At 37.4% G+C, this 17,451-nt stretch overlaps 1 protein-coding gene across 2 annotated transcripts in view; it reads right to left on the bottom strand.

The window, feature by feature from the left end:
• The window catches only part of UBE2E2 (ubiquitin conjugating enzyme E2 E2), a 388,828-nt gene that overhangs the window by 37,111 nt on the left and 334,266 nt on the right, over nt 1-17,451 (bottom strand). The window lies entirely within an intron of this gene.

The raw sequence follows: 17,451 nt of genomic DNA, 5'->3' as shown, positions 1-17,451 counted from the left end.
TTGTAAATATTTTTTTCCCAGTCTGTAGTTGTCCTTTTCCATTTTGTTGTTTCTTTTGCTGTGGAGAAGTTTTGCAGTTTGATGTAGTTACATTTATTTATTTTTGCTTTTGTAGCCTGAGCTTTTGGTGTGATGTTCAAGAAATCATTGCCAAGGCTAATGTCAAGGAGCTTTTACCCACGTTTTCTTCGAGGAGTTTTATGGCTTCAGGTGTTACATTCAGGTCTTTTATCTATCTTGAGTTGATTTTCGTGTATAGTGTAAGATAAAGGTCCAATTTCATTCTTATTTTATTTTTTTAAAGAGAGAGGGTCTTGCTCTGTCACCCAGTCTGGAATGCAGTGTGATCATAGCTCACTGTGACCTCTAACTCCTGGGCTCAAGTGATCCTCCTGCCTTAGCCACCCAAGTAGCTTAGGCTACAGGCATGAGCCACTGTGCCTGGCTCAATTTCATTCTTTTACATGTGGCAATCCAGTTTCCCCGGAATCATTTATTTGAAGAGACTATCCTCTCCCCATTGTGTCTTCTTGGTACCCTTTTTGAAAATTAGTTGCCCATATATGTTTGGATTTATATCTGAAATCTTTATTCTGTACCAATGGTCTATGTGTCTGTTTTTGTGCCAGTACTGCACTGTTTTGATTACTATAGCTATATACTATAGCTTTGAAATAAAATTTAAAATTAGGAAGTGTGATATCTCTTCCCCCCTCAACCCCACCTCAGGATTGCTCTGGCTATTTAGGGTCTTTGGTAAGTTTTAGGATTTTTTTTTTAAATTTATGTGAACAATGCCCTTGGGATTTTGATAGTGACTGTGTTGGATCTGCATATTGCTTTTGGTAGTATGGGCATTTTAACAATATTAATTCTTCCAGTCCATGAGCATGAAATATCTTTCTATTTGTGTCTTCTTCAATTTCTTTCATCAATGTTTTATCATTTTCTAGTGTACAGGTCTTTTATCTCCTTGGTTAAATTTATTCCTAAGTATTTTAATTTTTAAATGCTATCATAAATGGGATTGTTTTGATTTCTTTTCTTGGCTAGGTTGTCACTTGTGTACAGAAATGCCATGGACTTTTCTATCTAGATTTTAAATTTTATATCCTGTAACTTTACTGAATTTATTTATTAGATGGATACGGCTTTTGAGAAAGCCTCCTCATGTCTACAAAAATGCAAATAACTATTGTCAATAATGGAAAAAATGACTATAAAGGGAACAGAGGCATTCAGAAAATGAAACCATTTCCTTCAGCAACAGATGTCCAATTTTGGGTGGTTAATGTACAACCTACTTTAAGAGCAATGTCAGTTTATTAACATAAATGGTAGGTTAAATATCATCGACCAAAACAAAGGCCCTATAGTTATAGCTACCAGTATACTGAAGTATTAACTTAAAAGAGATTAAAAGCAGTAACACTGATCTTCAGTGGGATGCCGCTTTACCACATGCTCACAAGTTATGCTTCTTTGAAATTATTTTTTTTTTTAGAGGTCATAAAGTTTATAATGTAATATCAATGATTCTTAATATAGCATTTTGTTTTATTAAAGTGTGACCAAAGGTTTCTATCATACTATAAAAGGGAAATATAGAGCATTTTGGGCTATATTAACAATGAAAATCTGTCAAGTAATTTATTAATTTTATCTTTAGGTAAGTAGGCTAACTTTACCATTAACACAAAAGAGAAAATTTCTATTTCTCTCTCATTTTTCTCCTACAATCATCTTCAACTTTTATCCATAAAACTCCAGGGTGGATATAATCAAGGAGATTAAAAATCAATAAGAAAGGGTTTATCAAAACTTAGAAAGTAAAATACTTTTTTCTTAACATAAAAAAATTTACATAGAAAATACTATTCGTACATTTTGCAAAATTAATTTTGCTATACACATGTTGGTAGTTTTTAGACTGGATTGAAAACAGCATGGAATAAAGACAATTTTAGTTAATCTTGAGGTGTTTTTCTGAATGAGTTATGGCAATAGCTGCCTGTTCAAAGCCTTGAATGGTAGTTGAATAGCATTTCAGAATGTACTTGCATTCATGTGGCAACAACTGATGGAGAACTGAGGTCAGCTAACAGAAATGCCACAAAACCTTACATTCTTAAAAGTTCCAAAGTACAATTTGTAAAGAAGCTGATTGTACAAAGACAATCAACTGTAGAGTGGGAATGCAGAAACAAACGTACACCTCCTTTTGTGCTAACTCCTATTTATTTCTTGGAACTGTAGAAATGTTAAAACCCAAAACCTCTCCTTGGTGACTGTCCTTGTTTATGCTTTCTTTACCTTGTGCCTAGATGAAAAGCAACCCATTAGTTTAGTTAAACAGGCGCTTATCATGAAATCCAGATCTACTCAACACCCTCAGTCCCCTGGGAATTGGTACATGATGCAGAATATTTTTATTGACATTCTGACTGAAACTTTATTTTTTAGAGAAGGGGTCTCTCTCTGTTGCTTAGGCTGGAGTGCAGTGTCCTGATCTTGGCCCAGTGCAACCTCGAACCCCTGGGCTCCAGTGATCTTTCTACCTTGGCCTCCGAGTAGCTAGGACTACAGGGGGGTGCCACCAAGCCTGGCTGCTGACTAAAACTTTAATACACCTGTATTAGTCTGCCCGGGTGGCCATACAACAAACCATAGACTGGGTGGCTTAAAAAGCAGAAATTTATTTCTCTCAGTTCTGGAGGCTGGGAACTCAAAGATCATGGTGCTGGCTGATGTGGTTTCTGACGAGGACTCTTGGGGGCTTATAGATGGCTGCCTTCTGGATGTGTCCTCACAAGGCAGAAAGACAGAGTTCTCTGGTGTCTCTCCTTAAAGGGACATGAATCCCATTGGATCAGGGTTCCACCCTTATGACCTAGTTTAACTTTGATTACCTCTTTATAAGCCCTATCTCCAAATATAGTCACATTAGGAGTTAGGGCTTCAACATATTAATTTTGGGGAGAACACAGTTCAGTCCGTAGCACACACCCTTATACGAGGCCCTAGCCGAGCCTGGGACCAGCTACAGCAAACCATGCTTTACATCCCTATCGTCATCTCCCACCATGCAAGGCCCTCTAGTCAGTCATCCTTTTTACTCTCTCATCCCCACATTTCTTTGTCCTCTACTCCAGGATAATCCTCTTCCAGCTGCCCCCATTCTTTCTAACCACACCTTCTCAAAGATCCAATGAGGCAACATATTGTTTCTGTGATTCTCTTACTTCCCACTCACATTTCTTTAGATTGTAAATGGCCAGCCATGTAAGTCCTACAGTAACAGTAATGATAGTAGCCCCAAGTTACTAGCAAGTTTGAATAGTATAGCTGTTTGCATGTTTCTACTAATATAGAGCCAACATAAGTTTCTCTTCAGTTTAATATTCTGGTTTTAACTAAGCAAAAGACATGCTGGTCAATTCTTAAAGCATTCACATTTCATGAAGTTAAGAACTAAATCAATTTGAGAATACTTACCAAAGTTATAATGCTTTAGTAATTAACTTAAAAGGTTGCCCTTTTATAAACAAAAATGTTTTAGTCTTTTCCATTTTTATTTATTTTTCAACTGGTTATGAATTCTCTTTTCTTGCCTTTTAAGTCCGTGGTAATATTTTATGGAATGTTGAACACTGCAATTTTTATGTTGTTGAGTGTTGGAATTTGTTGTATTTCCATAAAGAATGTTGTACCTTATTCCAAAGAATGTTGCATTTTACTCTAACAGGGAGTTAAGTTATTTAGGAACAGTATGATACTTTCAAAACTTGCTTTTAAACTGTTAGAGCAGATGCAATGTAGTCTTTAGAGTAATTCATCCCTACTAATAAGGCAGGATCTTTTGATGATTATATGCAAACTTAACCAAAGGCTCAAGGGGATCTCTCTTCAGATTTCTAGGGCATTCTCTCTGTACAATCCCTCTTCTCTGGGTTTCTGCCCCACAAATGCTAGCCATCTTGATCTTCCCAAACTCCTATCTCTGTCTCCTCAACTCAGTGACACTGCTGGCCTCTCTCTTTGGTTTCTTTCTCCTTGTACAGTATCCTGGAAACTGCTTCTAGGCAGTAAGCTGGGGACAATTGTAGGGCTTACTTCATCTGTTTCTCCTCTCAGGGAATGTCTAGTTTTCTAACTAGAAAGGTAGTCTAAGGTAGGAGTGTAAATCTGGCTCCTGTTATTCTTCATGGCCAGAAGCAGAAGTGAAAAAGTTGAGTTTCACTCCCATCTTAACTAGACATAGTCTCTGACCTCCAGGAGTTTGCGATAACAAAACTCTCTGGACAACATAGTCTTTGACCTCTAGGAGTTTTGTTATCTAATATAATATCCTGACATATTTTAAGTTGTCTCTTATGCCTGAGATTTATACAGAGTAAAAGCAAAGGAACAGTGGGGATAGCAGTCAAGGTTAAAAGAGGCTTGGGCTTGAAATAAGGCAATTTCACGGGGAGCCCTTTGGCCACATGGGGTTGCATAGGGGAATACAGTTTGTACATTATAGGTGCTGGGAATAAAGAGGCAGACTCATAATTCATTTTATAGATGACAGAAGATAATCCTCAATAGTTATCTAGATTATAAAAATAGGAGCCTAAAGCAAATTAAAATCATTAAATCAAGTTTGAGTTATAATTCATTCTTCCTACTAGTTTTTTTATAGAAAGTAAATTCCACCACATTTGAAACTCCAAACTTAACAAACTATAAAGGAGTTATCTAAAGATTTTATGCTGAGAATGAAATTGCTTTTTTTTTTTTTTTGAGATGGAGTCTCTCTCTGTTACCCAGGCTGGAGTGCAATGGTGCGATCTCGTCTTACTACAGCCTGCGCCTCCTAGGTTTAAGCGATTCTCCTGCCTTAGCCTCCTGAGTAGCTGGGATTACCAGTACCTCCCACCACGCTCAGCTAATTAGTGTATTTTTAGAAGACACAGGGTTTCACCATGTTGGCCAGGCTGGTCTCAAACTCCTGACCTCAGGTGATCCACCCACCTCAGCCTTCCAAAGTGCCGGGATTACAGGTGTGAGCCACCGCGCCCGGTTGAAATTCCTTTTTTAGACATCTCAAAGGCGAGGTCATCACACCTAACACAGCTAATATGGACTTTCAGTTCAATAACATTCCACGTAATGATACTCATAGCCTTCAAAGTGTTTACAGAGGTCCACACATACCATTTTTTCCTCACAATAATGCTGCAAGATAGGGTCAGAAGTACAATCTTTAATTCACAAATGAGGGCACCGATTTATCCAAGGTCACTAGCTAGTTAGTGAGAGAGCTGGGCCAAGGCTCTGGCTTTCTTGACAGCTTCAAAACTCAGTATAACTTAGGTCCTTTGACTTAATTTTCTTTAACATGGCAAGGTATAACCTTGCATTGTTCTCATGACCTGACACTGATAAGTCTAGCAATAGGCATCATAAGGTTTGCTGAAAAGATGCATGCAAGGGCATGTCACTATGACTTAGAGAAATCAGGCATAAATGTAGTAGAGATCAGGGCAACAGCTTAGAGCAAAACAATAAAAAACCATCTCATGCTATGGAGCAACTCCAGTGTTTTCATTTAAAACCTTGCCATCCATTACAAAGGACAAAGAAAGAACTTTAGAACATCAAAATGAGATTATTATGCTATGTGCATGATACTGCTTTGGCAGTGCTGCTTACAAAGTATAGGACTTTAATATATTTTCCAAAGTAGGTTAAAAAAAGAAACAGTTTAGCTGGGGAAAGAGGCCATTTATTAAGAAGGTAGGTACTGGCTGAGACTGGCAAGAACTACAACATTACTCACAGTGTTCAGCCACATTTTCAGAGTTGCTACTATGTACCTCTTTTGAGAGCTGATGGGGCCATTCTTGCCCTGGCATACCAGAAGAACAGGAGCCACCAACTTGGCACATGAAGTGAAAAGGGATATTCCAAGATTATATATTGGTCTAACAGACAGTACAGGCTGAGTCATATGGTTATAGAGATAATAATAAATAAAGCTACTCTTAAAAAATAAAAAATATGGCTTGGAAGTCCTTCTGTTTGTTTTTAAATATTTTACTGAGTGCAAGCAAGGTTAAATGAAGTTAAGGAGGAGAGCAGCACGTGAACCATAAGGATAAGAAAAGAGAAGAGAAACAGCAGCAGAAAAATCAGGAGGCTGGAAATGCAGAGAGAAGAGACCAGCTAACGGGAAAAGGGATTAGAGAGAAGGAACAACCAAGAATACACCGCAAAGTTCTGTCTTAAAGAAGTAAGTAAGTGCTGGTCCACTTCAGTTTGCCATTGGCTCCATCTTAGTGACTCCCATAGAGGGTTAGGCTTCCAGCTTGAAGGTGGAGTCAAATCAAAGCCTGAGGTGAAGGTGGGGTTTGTGCATGTGTATGTACTGGAAATGGAAAACATGTACAATAGATAAATTGTTTTTATATTACAAACACCAGAAAGTAAAGCAAAATGCAACAGAGTCCCTGGGCTGATAGGAACAAGACAAAGAGGAGTAAGAAAAATGTGTAAAAGGAGTAAGAAAAATAATGAAACAGCTTTATATGATGTTCTAGTTGTGAAAGATGGTGTAGGTTATAATTTCTGTAACCTCTGACGTGATTCATTTTCTTTCTCTTAGTTGCTTTTTCTATTAGGATTCCTGAAAGAGGCAGTCTTTAGAAGGCAGTCATGAGTAAGCTGATGTGAGAACATATGTATATAAAAGCCAGTAGTTCACACTGATTTGGCTATTTCTCTGCAGGCAGGCAGAGGAGAGAGTCTAATGCTAACCTTAAGAGTATCACTCTTCCCTCCAGTCTTCCCTCCGGTATTCACACCAGGTCCCTGAGGACATCAGCTACTTCAAAGTATGGGAATAGCTTCCTTAACAAATCCTCTGGGCATAAAAGTTTTTTAAAAGTCAATGTGATCACCTCACTGGGACCTCCTTAGGGCTGGGTGGGTAGTATCAGAGGTCTCAGAAGGTAGTACATTCTGAAAGATGACCTGAAAAAAGAATGTGACAGCCACATGGGGATCTCTACTGAGAAAAGAATGTCTCCTATTTAGGAAGAGAAGTATCAGCTTTGAGAGCCTTCTGAGTTAGGGTGAGCAATCAACATCCTCGAGGGTGTTTTATGCTGTTATCAAATTTTAAAACACATTTGTTTAATTTGCATAAAGTAAAATCCATGCTGCATTAGTTATAAATCAGGTACAGGTGTTTCTGACAATAAATTTCACTAGAATGACTCCATTTACCAATAACAAGCTTACTGTATTAACAGACCACCACATTATAAATGTAGACTGAATGGGGAAATAAATCTAAATAGCAAAACAAATGAACCAATAAAGAAATAGCACTTAAGAATTTCAAAAGCAGCAACTGGTGAAGAACTAAGAGAAGTATACAGACCATAGTCAGCTACTTAATAATCTCATCATTTCTGGGTATTTTAAATGGTGGAAAAGACACACACCTGTGGTAAATCCCTGCCTGGGAGTAACACCTGAAACCTTTCTGTTAGTGTGGAGACCAAGAACCTACTAAACAGCTGGACAACAGACACAGAAAAAAATGTCTTATTGTTGGAACGAGATTGCTTAGCAAAGCCTGACACAGTTATTCCTCTCTTGAGAGAAGCTGTAAATAAACCCAAATAGTGAGCAGGGTAGTTACAAAATGTGCTCCTTGATCCTACCATAAGCAAAAAAACTTAATTTCTTATTTATACACCTCACTTTGCCAAACAAGAGTCAATTTGCAATAAAATATGTATGCTCAATAAAATAACTCTAACAGAAACAGAATAATCCAAGTCATCAAAAAAGCACGGATAAAACTATGGGAAAAAAGCATGTATAACTGGCATATATACTAATACATAATTCTCTCCCTGTCATTAGAGAAAAGTTATTTTTACTCTAGAGTGGAGAGAATTAATCATCTGTTTTCACCACTATAATCTTTATCTTTTCATTATCTTCATTAAAAGATAATTTTTAAAAATTAATTAAAATCTAAATGTTCTTGCCGGGCGCGGTGGCTCATGCCTGTAATCCCAGCAATTTGGGAGGCTGAGGTGGGCGGATCACCTGAGGTTGGGAGTTTGAGACCAGCCTGACCAACATGGAGAAACCCCACCTCTACTAAAAATACAAAATTAGCCAGGCGTGGTGGTGCATGCCTGTAATTTCAGCTACTCGGGAGGCTGAGGCAAGAGAATTGTTTGAACCTGGGAGGTGGGGGTTGTGGTGAGCTGAGATCGCACCATTGCACTCCAGCCTGGGCAACAAGAGTAAAACTCCGAATCCAAAAAAAAAAAAAAAAAAAAAAAAAAAAATCTAAATGTTCTTGACTTCAGAAATTCCTCAAGTAAGGGAAACAAAGAAACTCTGAATCATTTCTTGGGCAAATAGTTCTGAGTAAAAGACATGTGAGTAAAGAATGATGTTTGTTTAAGTGAAATATTTGTTTCTCTAAACAACAAGAACAATGACAACAAAAATAGGTCACTGGTAATTTTTAAGGGTAACTCCAAAATGAAGTCTTCTAAACATAAACTGAAGAGAATTTTCATAAGATACAGTGACTTTTCAATCAGATCAAGTTCTTTGAAAAATTTTTAAAAATGTTTAATTAATTTTATTTCAATAGTGTTAGGGATACAAGTGGTTTCTGGTTACATGGATAAACTGTATAGTGGTAAAGTCTGAGATTTTAGTATACCTACACGTGAGTAGTGCACACTTTACCCAATATATAGTTTTTTATCCCTCACCAACTGCCCCACCTCCTCTCTTCTGAGTCTCCAATTATCCATATCACTTTGTATGCCTTTGTGTGCCCATAGCTTAGCTTTATAAGTGAGAACTTAAGGTATTTGGTTTTCAATTCCTGAGTTACTTCACTTAGAATAAAGGCTTCCAGCTCTATCCAAGTTGCCGTAGATGTTATTTCCTTCTTTTTTATGGCTGAGTAGTATTCCATGGTGTATACATATCACATTTTCTTTAACCACTCATCGGTTGACGGGCACTTAGATTGGTTCCATATCTTTGCGATTGTCAATTGCGCTGTGATAAACATATATGTGCAGGTGTCTTTTTGATATAAATGACTTATTTTCCTTTGGGTAGATACCCAGTAGTAGGATTGTTGGATTGAATGGTAGATCTTGTGGGGAAAAGAAAGATCAGATTGTTACTGTGTCTGTGTAGAAAGAAGTAGACATAGGAGACTCCATTTTGTTCTGTACTAAAAAATTCTTCTGCCTTGAGATTCTGTTAATCTATGATCTTACCCCCAACCCCATGCTCTCTGAAACATGTGCTGTGTCAAACTCAGGGTTAAATGGATTAAGTGTTGTGCAAGATGTGCTTTGTTAAACAGATGCTTGAAGGCAGCATGCTCCTTAAGAGTCATCACCACTCCCTAATCTCAAGTACCCAGGGACACAAACACTGCGGAAGGCCACAGGGACCTCTGCCTAGGAAAGCCAGGTATTGTCCAAGGTTTCTCTCCATGTGACAGTCTGAAATATGGCCTCGTGGGAAGGGAAAGACCTGACCCTCCCCCAGCCCGACACCCGTAAAGGGTCTGTGCTGAGGAGGATTAGTATAAGAGGAAGGCATGCCTCTTGCAGTTGAGACAAGAGGAAGGCATCTGTCTCCTGCCCGTCCCTGGGCAATGGAATGTCTCGGTATAAAACTCGATTGTAAGTTCCATCTACTGAGATAGGGAAAAACCGCCTTAGGGCTGGAGGTGGGACATGCGGGCAGCAATACTGCTTTGTAAAGCATTGAGATGTTTATGTGTATGCATATCTAAAAGCACAGCACTTGATTCTTTACCTTGTCTATGATGCAAAGACCTTTGTTCACGTGTTTGTCTGCTGACCCTCTCCCCACTATTGTCTTGTGACCCTGACACATCCCCCTCTCGGAGAAACACCCACAAATGATCAATAAATACTAAGGGAACTCAGAGGCTGGCGGGATCCTCCATATGCTGAACGCTGGTTCCCTGGGTCCCCTTATTTCTTTCTCTATACTTTGTCTCTGTGTCTTTTTCTTTTCCAAGTCTCTTGTTCCACCTAACGAGAAACACCCACAGGTGTGGAGGGGCAACCCACCCCTTCAGATCTACTTGTAGTTCTTTGAGAAATCTCCATAGTCCACACAGCTTGTACTAATTTACATTCCCACCAGCAGTGTACAAGCATTCCCTTCACACCACATCCACACCAATATCTACTGTTTTTAACTTGTAAGTAATGGCTATTCTGGCAGGGCTGAGGTGAATTTCATTGTAGCTTGAATTTGCATTTCCCTGGTTATTAGTAATGTTGAGCAGTTTTACATATGTTTCTTGGCCGTTTGTATATCTTCTTTTGAGAAATGTCTATTCATGTCATTTGTCCACTTTTTGATGGGACTGTTTTTTTCTTGCTGATTTGAGTTCCTTGTAGATTCTGGATATCAGTCCTCTGTCAGATGCATAGTATGCAAATATTTCTTCCCATTCTGTGGGTTGTCTGTTTACTCTGAGGATTATTTCTTTCACTGTGCAGAAGTTTTTTAGTTTAATTGGGTCCCATTTATTTTTGTTTTTGCTGCATTTGCTTTCGGGGTCTTACTCATAAATTCTTTGCTTAGACCAACGCCCAAAAGAGTTTTTCCTAGGTTTTCTTCCAGAATTTTTATGGTTTAGTCTTCAATGTAAGTCTTTAATCCATCTTAAGTTGATTTTTGTATATGGTAAGAGACAGGAATCAAGTTTCATTCTTCTACATGTGGCTTGCCAATTATCCCAGCACCATTTGTTGAATAGGGTGTCCTTTCCCCACTTTATGTTTTTGTTTGCCTTGCTGAAGATCAGTTGGCTGTATTTGGCTTTATTTCTGGGTTCAATATTCTGTTCCATTGGTTTATGTATCTACTTTTATAACAATACCATGCTGTTGGTTACCACAGACTTGTAGTATAATTTGAAATCAAGTAACATAATGCCTCTAGCTTTGTTCTTTTTGCTTAGGATTGCTTTGGATATTCGGGCTCTTTTTTTGTTCCATATGAATTTTAGGACTGTCTTCTCTAATTCTGTGAAAAAGGATTTTGGTGTTTTGATAGGAATTGCACTGAATCTGTAGATTGCTTTGGGCAGTATGGTCATTTTCACAATATTGACTCTTCCAATCCATGAACATGAAATGTATTTCCATTTGTTTGTCATCTATTATTATTTTTTTTTTTTTAGCAGTGTTTTGTAGTATTCCTCACAGACATCCTTCACCTCCTTGGTTAACTATATTCCCAGGCATTTTATTTTATTTTTGCAGCTATTGTAAGAGGAAATGAGTTCATGATTTGATTCTCAGCTTGGCTGTTGCTGATATACAGCAATGCTACTGATTTGTGTACACTGATTTTGTAACCTGAGACTTTACTGATTTCATTTATCAAATCTAGGAGTATTCTGGAGGAGTCTTTAGGGTTTTCTAGGTATACGATCACATCACTGGCAAACAGAGATAATTTGACTTCCTCTTTTCCAGTTTGGATGCCCTTTATTTCTTTCTCTTGAATGATTGTTCTGGCTAGGACTTCTGGTACTATGTTGAATAGAAGTGGTAAAAGTGTTTGTTATGTTTTGTAGCGACAGGGTCTCACTTTGTTGCCTAGGCTAGTCTTGAACTCCTGGCTTCAAGTGATCCTCCTGCCTTGGCCTCCCAAAAGTGCTGGGATTACAGGCATGAGCCACCTAGCCAAGATCAACTTCTAAACCAACCAATTAGAGGTTACTACTGCAGGGAGAGCAATGGACTTTATAAAAGAAAATTTGTATCAACAGCTAATCCATGTCGACATTTATATTAATTAAGAGACAATAAAATATGCATAGGGAAATGCTAAGCAAAAGCAGGTCAAAGCCAAGGCTAAATCCCTGAGGTCAACGTGTCTAAATTTACACCAAGATTATAACCAGACAAACTTAACTGACAAATATACTTTGCTGGGTCCCACCAAATTTGAGTTCCCAGAGCAAAGAGCCTCAAATAAAAATTAAATACTTATCTTGAAAAGACGACTGATTTTTAAAAATTAATAAGCAGGTATTATTTGTATAAGAAAAAATAATAAAGATACATCAATTTTGAAAATAACAAAAAGCCAATACAGAAAATACATTTTATTAAGGAATGAATCTAAAACTTTCTTTTTCACCTGAAAACACTCTCTCTCCACCATGAATACTATGAAGATACACATGGCCTAAGTTCCCCAAATGCAACTCCCACATGTATCTAAATCAAAGGCTTCTTTGCCTAGTTACAATACTGCAACTTTAAATCATTTCTCCAGCAAATCAAAGAAGCAAACAAAAACTTCCCCCAAATAGTAATTTTTCACTTACAAACTTTTACCAAATTGGACATGGACTATTAACTTTTTGAACTCATATATGATTAACCCCAACTCTAAGCTAACCACATTATTTTGATTATGAATCTACAGAAAAGATGCATTACCCGCAGATACAGAACCATTTATAGTAAGGCTGAAGTTAAAATATACCATCCCTAGTAGGCTATTACCAAGATTAAAAAATACACATCCCTCAGATAAATGTACCCTCCTACGATGACCACGGGTGGCTGGCACTCTAATATGCCTTTGCCCCAGTGATGCGGGGTTATTCATGCATTGTAAGCTGAACTCTTTTCTAGAGTTTTTCTTATAAAAATATAATGCTGGCATCCAAAGCTAGATAAACTATGAAGACATCTTCTCTAGGCCTGCACTCTTCCTAGTTTCCCTTATGTATTTAAATTAGTCTGTGTATGAACATTTTTTCCATCACAGGAGCCAGCCAGTCTGGACAAGAAAGTCACTGGAGTACACATGTGGTCACAATGTATGCAAGGAAGGTGGTTTACCTCACTGGTGTAAAGAGTCACGTCAAAAGGTACTAACTACATCAGCCTATAGGCACATAGTCAGATAGGCATTTGTTGGTTGGCCGAGGCACTTGAATAGCACAAACAATATGTCTTATTTGGGAAAATGCTTTCAGAAGGAAGACAGTGCTGAATTGGGGCGGTGGTGGGGAAGAACCATTGCATTTTCCAAAAATTCAACTTTATAAAAGCTTCATGTGGCAACAGGTTTCCCTGTAGGATACTCTTAAGCAGAAAGTTCTTCCAATACATGTAAAATATTCTGATTTGTAATTTTTTCCAGGAACAGACCTGCTCCAGAAAGAAATATGCTAGTAATTTAGGCAAACTCTTGTACTGCTTATTGTGTGAATTATTCACCAATATGACATGAAAAATTCAACAGCCATAATACACATTAAGCTCCAGGATCTACTAAAGAACAAATATGAAGAGAAGAAAAAGAGAAAGTAGTTATTACAGTTGTATAGGAATAATTAATCTGACATTTTGGAAGCGCTTTCTTTTCTGAGGAAGAGGCACTGTGAGTGTTGTTACTGATAGCACCTTGCCCAGGCTAGATACTGAATGAAAAGTTGAGTCAGAAAATAAGTAAAATAAAGAGAACTGCCCATTTGTTATGGGATCTGACTCAGACATTGGTAGTGTTACATTAATTCTTCAAATTTTCATAATTACAACATTTCTCCCAAGATACTGTACAATCTTAAGTATTCACAGTAAAAAGAGAAAATGTCATTCAATCATCTGGATGTTTTGTCCACACAAGTCAATTACTGAATAATTAGAGTTGTTTTATTATGCTGTTTCAGATTGGAATTTCCATAACACTAACAATGCATTATTTTAATTTCAAATATGTATTGTTTAAACATGCTGTTTAAATAATTTCTCTTAATTTCATGTTTAAAAATTTCACATTTAAAAAGCCTGATTTCACATTTAAACTAGCTGGGTATGGTGGCATGTGCCTATAGTCCCAGCTCTTGGGAGGTTGAGGCAGGAGGATCACTTGAGACCACTTGAGCCCAGGAGTTCCGGTAGGGGGCTGCAGTGAGTTCTGATTGTGCCACTACAGTCCAGCATAGGCAACAGAATGAGGTTTCATCTCTCTCTCTATTTTTTTAAAAAGGTGTCAGTCTGCCAGGCACGGTGGCTCATGCCTGTAATCCTAGCACTTCGGGAGGCCAAGGCAGGAGGATCACGAGGTCAGGAGTTTGAGACCAGCCTGATCAACATGGTGAAACCCCGTCTCTACTAAAAATCCAAAAATTAGCTGGGCGTGGTGGTGCGCGCCTGTAATCTCAGCTACTCAGGAGGCTAAGGCAGGAGAATTGCTTGAACCCAGCAAGTGGAAGTTGCAGTGAGCTGAGATCGCACCATTGCACTGCAGCCTGGGAGACAGAGTGAAACTGTCTCAAAACAAACAAACAAACAAACAAACAAACAAACAAAAGGGCATCAAACTTTACTCAGTGGCTTATCTTCCACAGGGCACATGCTGTATCTTTTAGTAACATACCCTTAAGTTCACCACTGCTAACTTAATTCTGATGCAGCAACCTGTTCTGACATTTACTAGGTCTTGTTTAAAAATGGTTTTCATGAAAATTAATGGTATTAAAACAATATTATCTGAGAATATTTAGCTACTCGGGAGGCTGAAGCAGGAGGGTTGCTTGAGTGCAGGAGTTCGAAGCTGCAGAGAGCTATGACGACACCACTGCCCTCCAGCCTGGGAGACAGAGCAAGACCCCATCTCTAAAAATAAATAAATAAATAATAAACAAAAAACCCTAATTCCTAAACCTTACTAAATATAGGTGAGTTCTGAAGCTGGGTGAGGGACACACTGGGACTTATAATAACCATTTTCTCTATTTTTTGTGAATGTGTGAAAAACCCACTTCAGCCTTTTCCTTGGTAAAGGAGAGTCTAGAGGCCATCTAGTTCACACATTTTACCTAATATTTCCTATATGTACTTAAAATTATTACGTCTTCACTTAGTGAAAATTTCCAATTCATTAAAAAAAATCAGTCTGATCTTTTCTCAATTATACTGAACTAGTAAGATTTTACTGTACCTGCTATTACAGAACACACCAATCAGAAACCTGAAATGGATGCGTGAACAACTCTGTAACAGTCAAAAAGAAACAGAAAAGGAACCACAGATTCCCACTCTAAGGGATTTACCTTCCTACTTTAAAAATGCTGGTAGCACTTTATAGGTCAAGTAAAGTTGACAGATACTCCCTGCGTTAGAAGTAAGGAAACAGAAGTAAGGAAAAGATACATGAAGATGATAAACACAACACTGTATTTTCTTATTTACCAAATGGAAGTAATTTCTCCAAAGGCCCTTTTAGTTAGATAAGAGATAAGGGTGAAACTTTAAACTTTAAAAGCACTTTTTAAGGTATCCCATATGTTAGCAAATATGGTAAAGTCTAGTTTTAACCATCTTTAAAAGAATCAAACCTATCAAAGGACGTATATTTAAGTTATGAAAGTAACAAAGTTTTAGCAGGTCAGCATTTCTAGTAAGAATCTATCAAAAAAGAATAAACAGTTAATGCTCCTTTTCACCAAGGCAAATTGGATGTTTGAGGAGGATATCAAATTGTTGGTTATAAATAAAGACTTGCCCACACAAAGCAGAAATACCATGGGCTAAATAGGAAATCCTTGCTTTGTCATGAAGTCATCCCTCACCTGAAGCTACCAATCCTTTCTTGGTAACTCTTTGAGTCAAAGAGGATGAATCCTTTTGACTTGTTTCACAACTAGGGAATCCAAGATCTAAGCCTACAATGGGGTAATTTTGGCTTTCCTTTCTCATTCAGTATTTCCTAGAAAATCATTCTTTGGTAAAAGTGCTACAAACTAATGGATATTTTTGTTTGCATTATTATACACCAGTATCTCTTGTAAGACAACTAAAGAAATGGTTTATTTTTACAGAATTGACAAAGTAGGGAAATAATCCTTTTAATATCATTTAAAATTTGCATTTACAAATATGTAGGGGTCAAGGTAAGCATCTCAGAATTGTTATTTTTTGTTTTTTTAAACCAAATTTATGATGGTACACAATCACTTCTGTATATCTTCTTTAATTCACAAAACAGGGAACGTATATTCCCTGATTTTATTCATCCATCTTAATAAGCCTTCAATTTTTCTAGAACCTCAACATTATGAATAGCATTATTTTCAAATGCATCTGAGTAAGCCTATGGGAAACTTAGGGGAGGGAAGGGGACGGTGTCCCAGGATTCTACAGGTAATACTGAATTGGAACCCAAAGGCTTTAATAAACGTTTTGAACTTTGTTTACTGTCTTGCTATTAAAAATACCAGGTAGATTGATTAATAGCACTTATTTAATATTTACTTAAACAACAGGAGCAAAGTATGAACTCTATAACCATAGCTTTCCTTTTCTTTGTATGAGGTGCCAGTGAAGTTAAATGACAATAATGTGGAGTCTCTCCACATCCATATTTGGAAGTATTGATTAGAGTGACTTTTAGAATTTAGCAGGTAGACAGAAGTTGACAGAAGACAAGCCAACTTTTCACAAGAAAACAGTCTGAAGTTAGCTATATGTTGTGCCACGTATTTCTACTTAATATTTTTCACTTTAAAAAAGCCATAGGCATCAGAAGAAATCTGGTATCTAGGTAGCCAACTGTAGTTATTGTTCTAGGAAAAAAAATTTTTTTTTTGTAGTCCTGCTAAAACAGTCTGCTTTGAAAACAGGTAGACTTACCATTTTACCTGAATTTCAGTTAAAGAAATTGTTCTTTTTCAGTTCTCAAGTATAGTAGAATGAGACATGCAGCAGCAAGGTTCACACTATTGTGTAAGCACTAGAATCCTACTGAGGTGTTATATGTACCTTTCATCAGTCTAGCGGCTCCCAAACTTGGTATAAATAATCTACACAAATATAAATGTGCTGAAATAATTAATCTGACTTAATGGTTCCCACCCACCAGCAGTCACTATCAATTGTAAAATTTTAATATTTACTAACACAATTTACTACCTAATCATAACTAATCCAAAGATAAGCAATTAATAACAATCAAAGCTAAGGTATCAGAGACAATTTATGAATAAGAATTGTTTTCATTGCTTAAAAAAAGGGCCTTAAGTGATCTGAAACAAAAAATTGTGATGTTGGAGAATGAAGAAGGAAACATTCTCCCAAGCTTTTATAGATCACTATAAAAGAGCCACTGGGAGCAAATTCCTCTTTTCTTTTGCTCAGTCCATTTGAGAAGAATAAAGCTTTTACCAATGAAACTGCAGCTGTGCTCACCCTCAGCTTAATCACTATACAAGGCTGAGGGTTAATTAGTGGCCATTCTTAGCTCTATTTGCTGTTCTAATACAGATCTGCACACATCTAAGACTGGAGTAACCGATACTTGATTTTTATTTGAAAGGTGATGCAGGGAGAGGGAGCA

This window comes from Homo sapiens, chromosome 3 (assembly GCF_000001405.40).
Source record: "Homo sapiens chromosome 3, GRCh38.p14 Primary Assembly".
NCBI classification, from domain to species: Eukaryota; Metazoa; Chordata; class Mammalia; order Primates; family Hominidae; genus Homo; species Homo sapiens.
The sequence above is the reverse complement of the archived record's forward strand: the minus strand, read 5'-3'. Positions and strand labels throughout refer to the sequence as shown.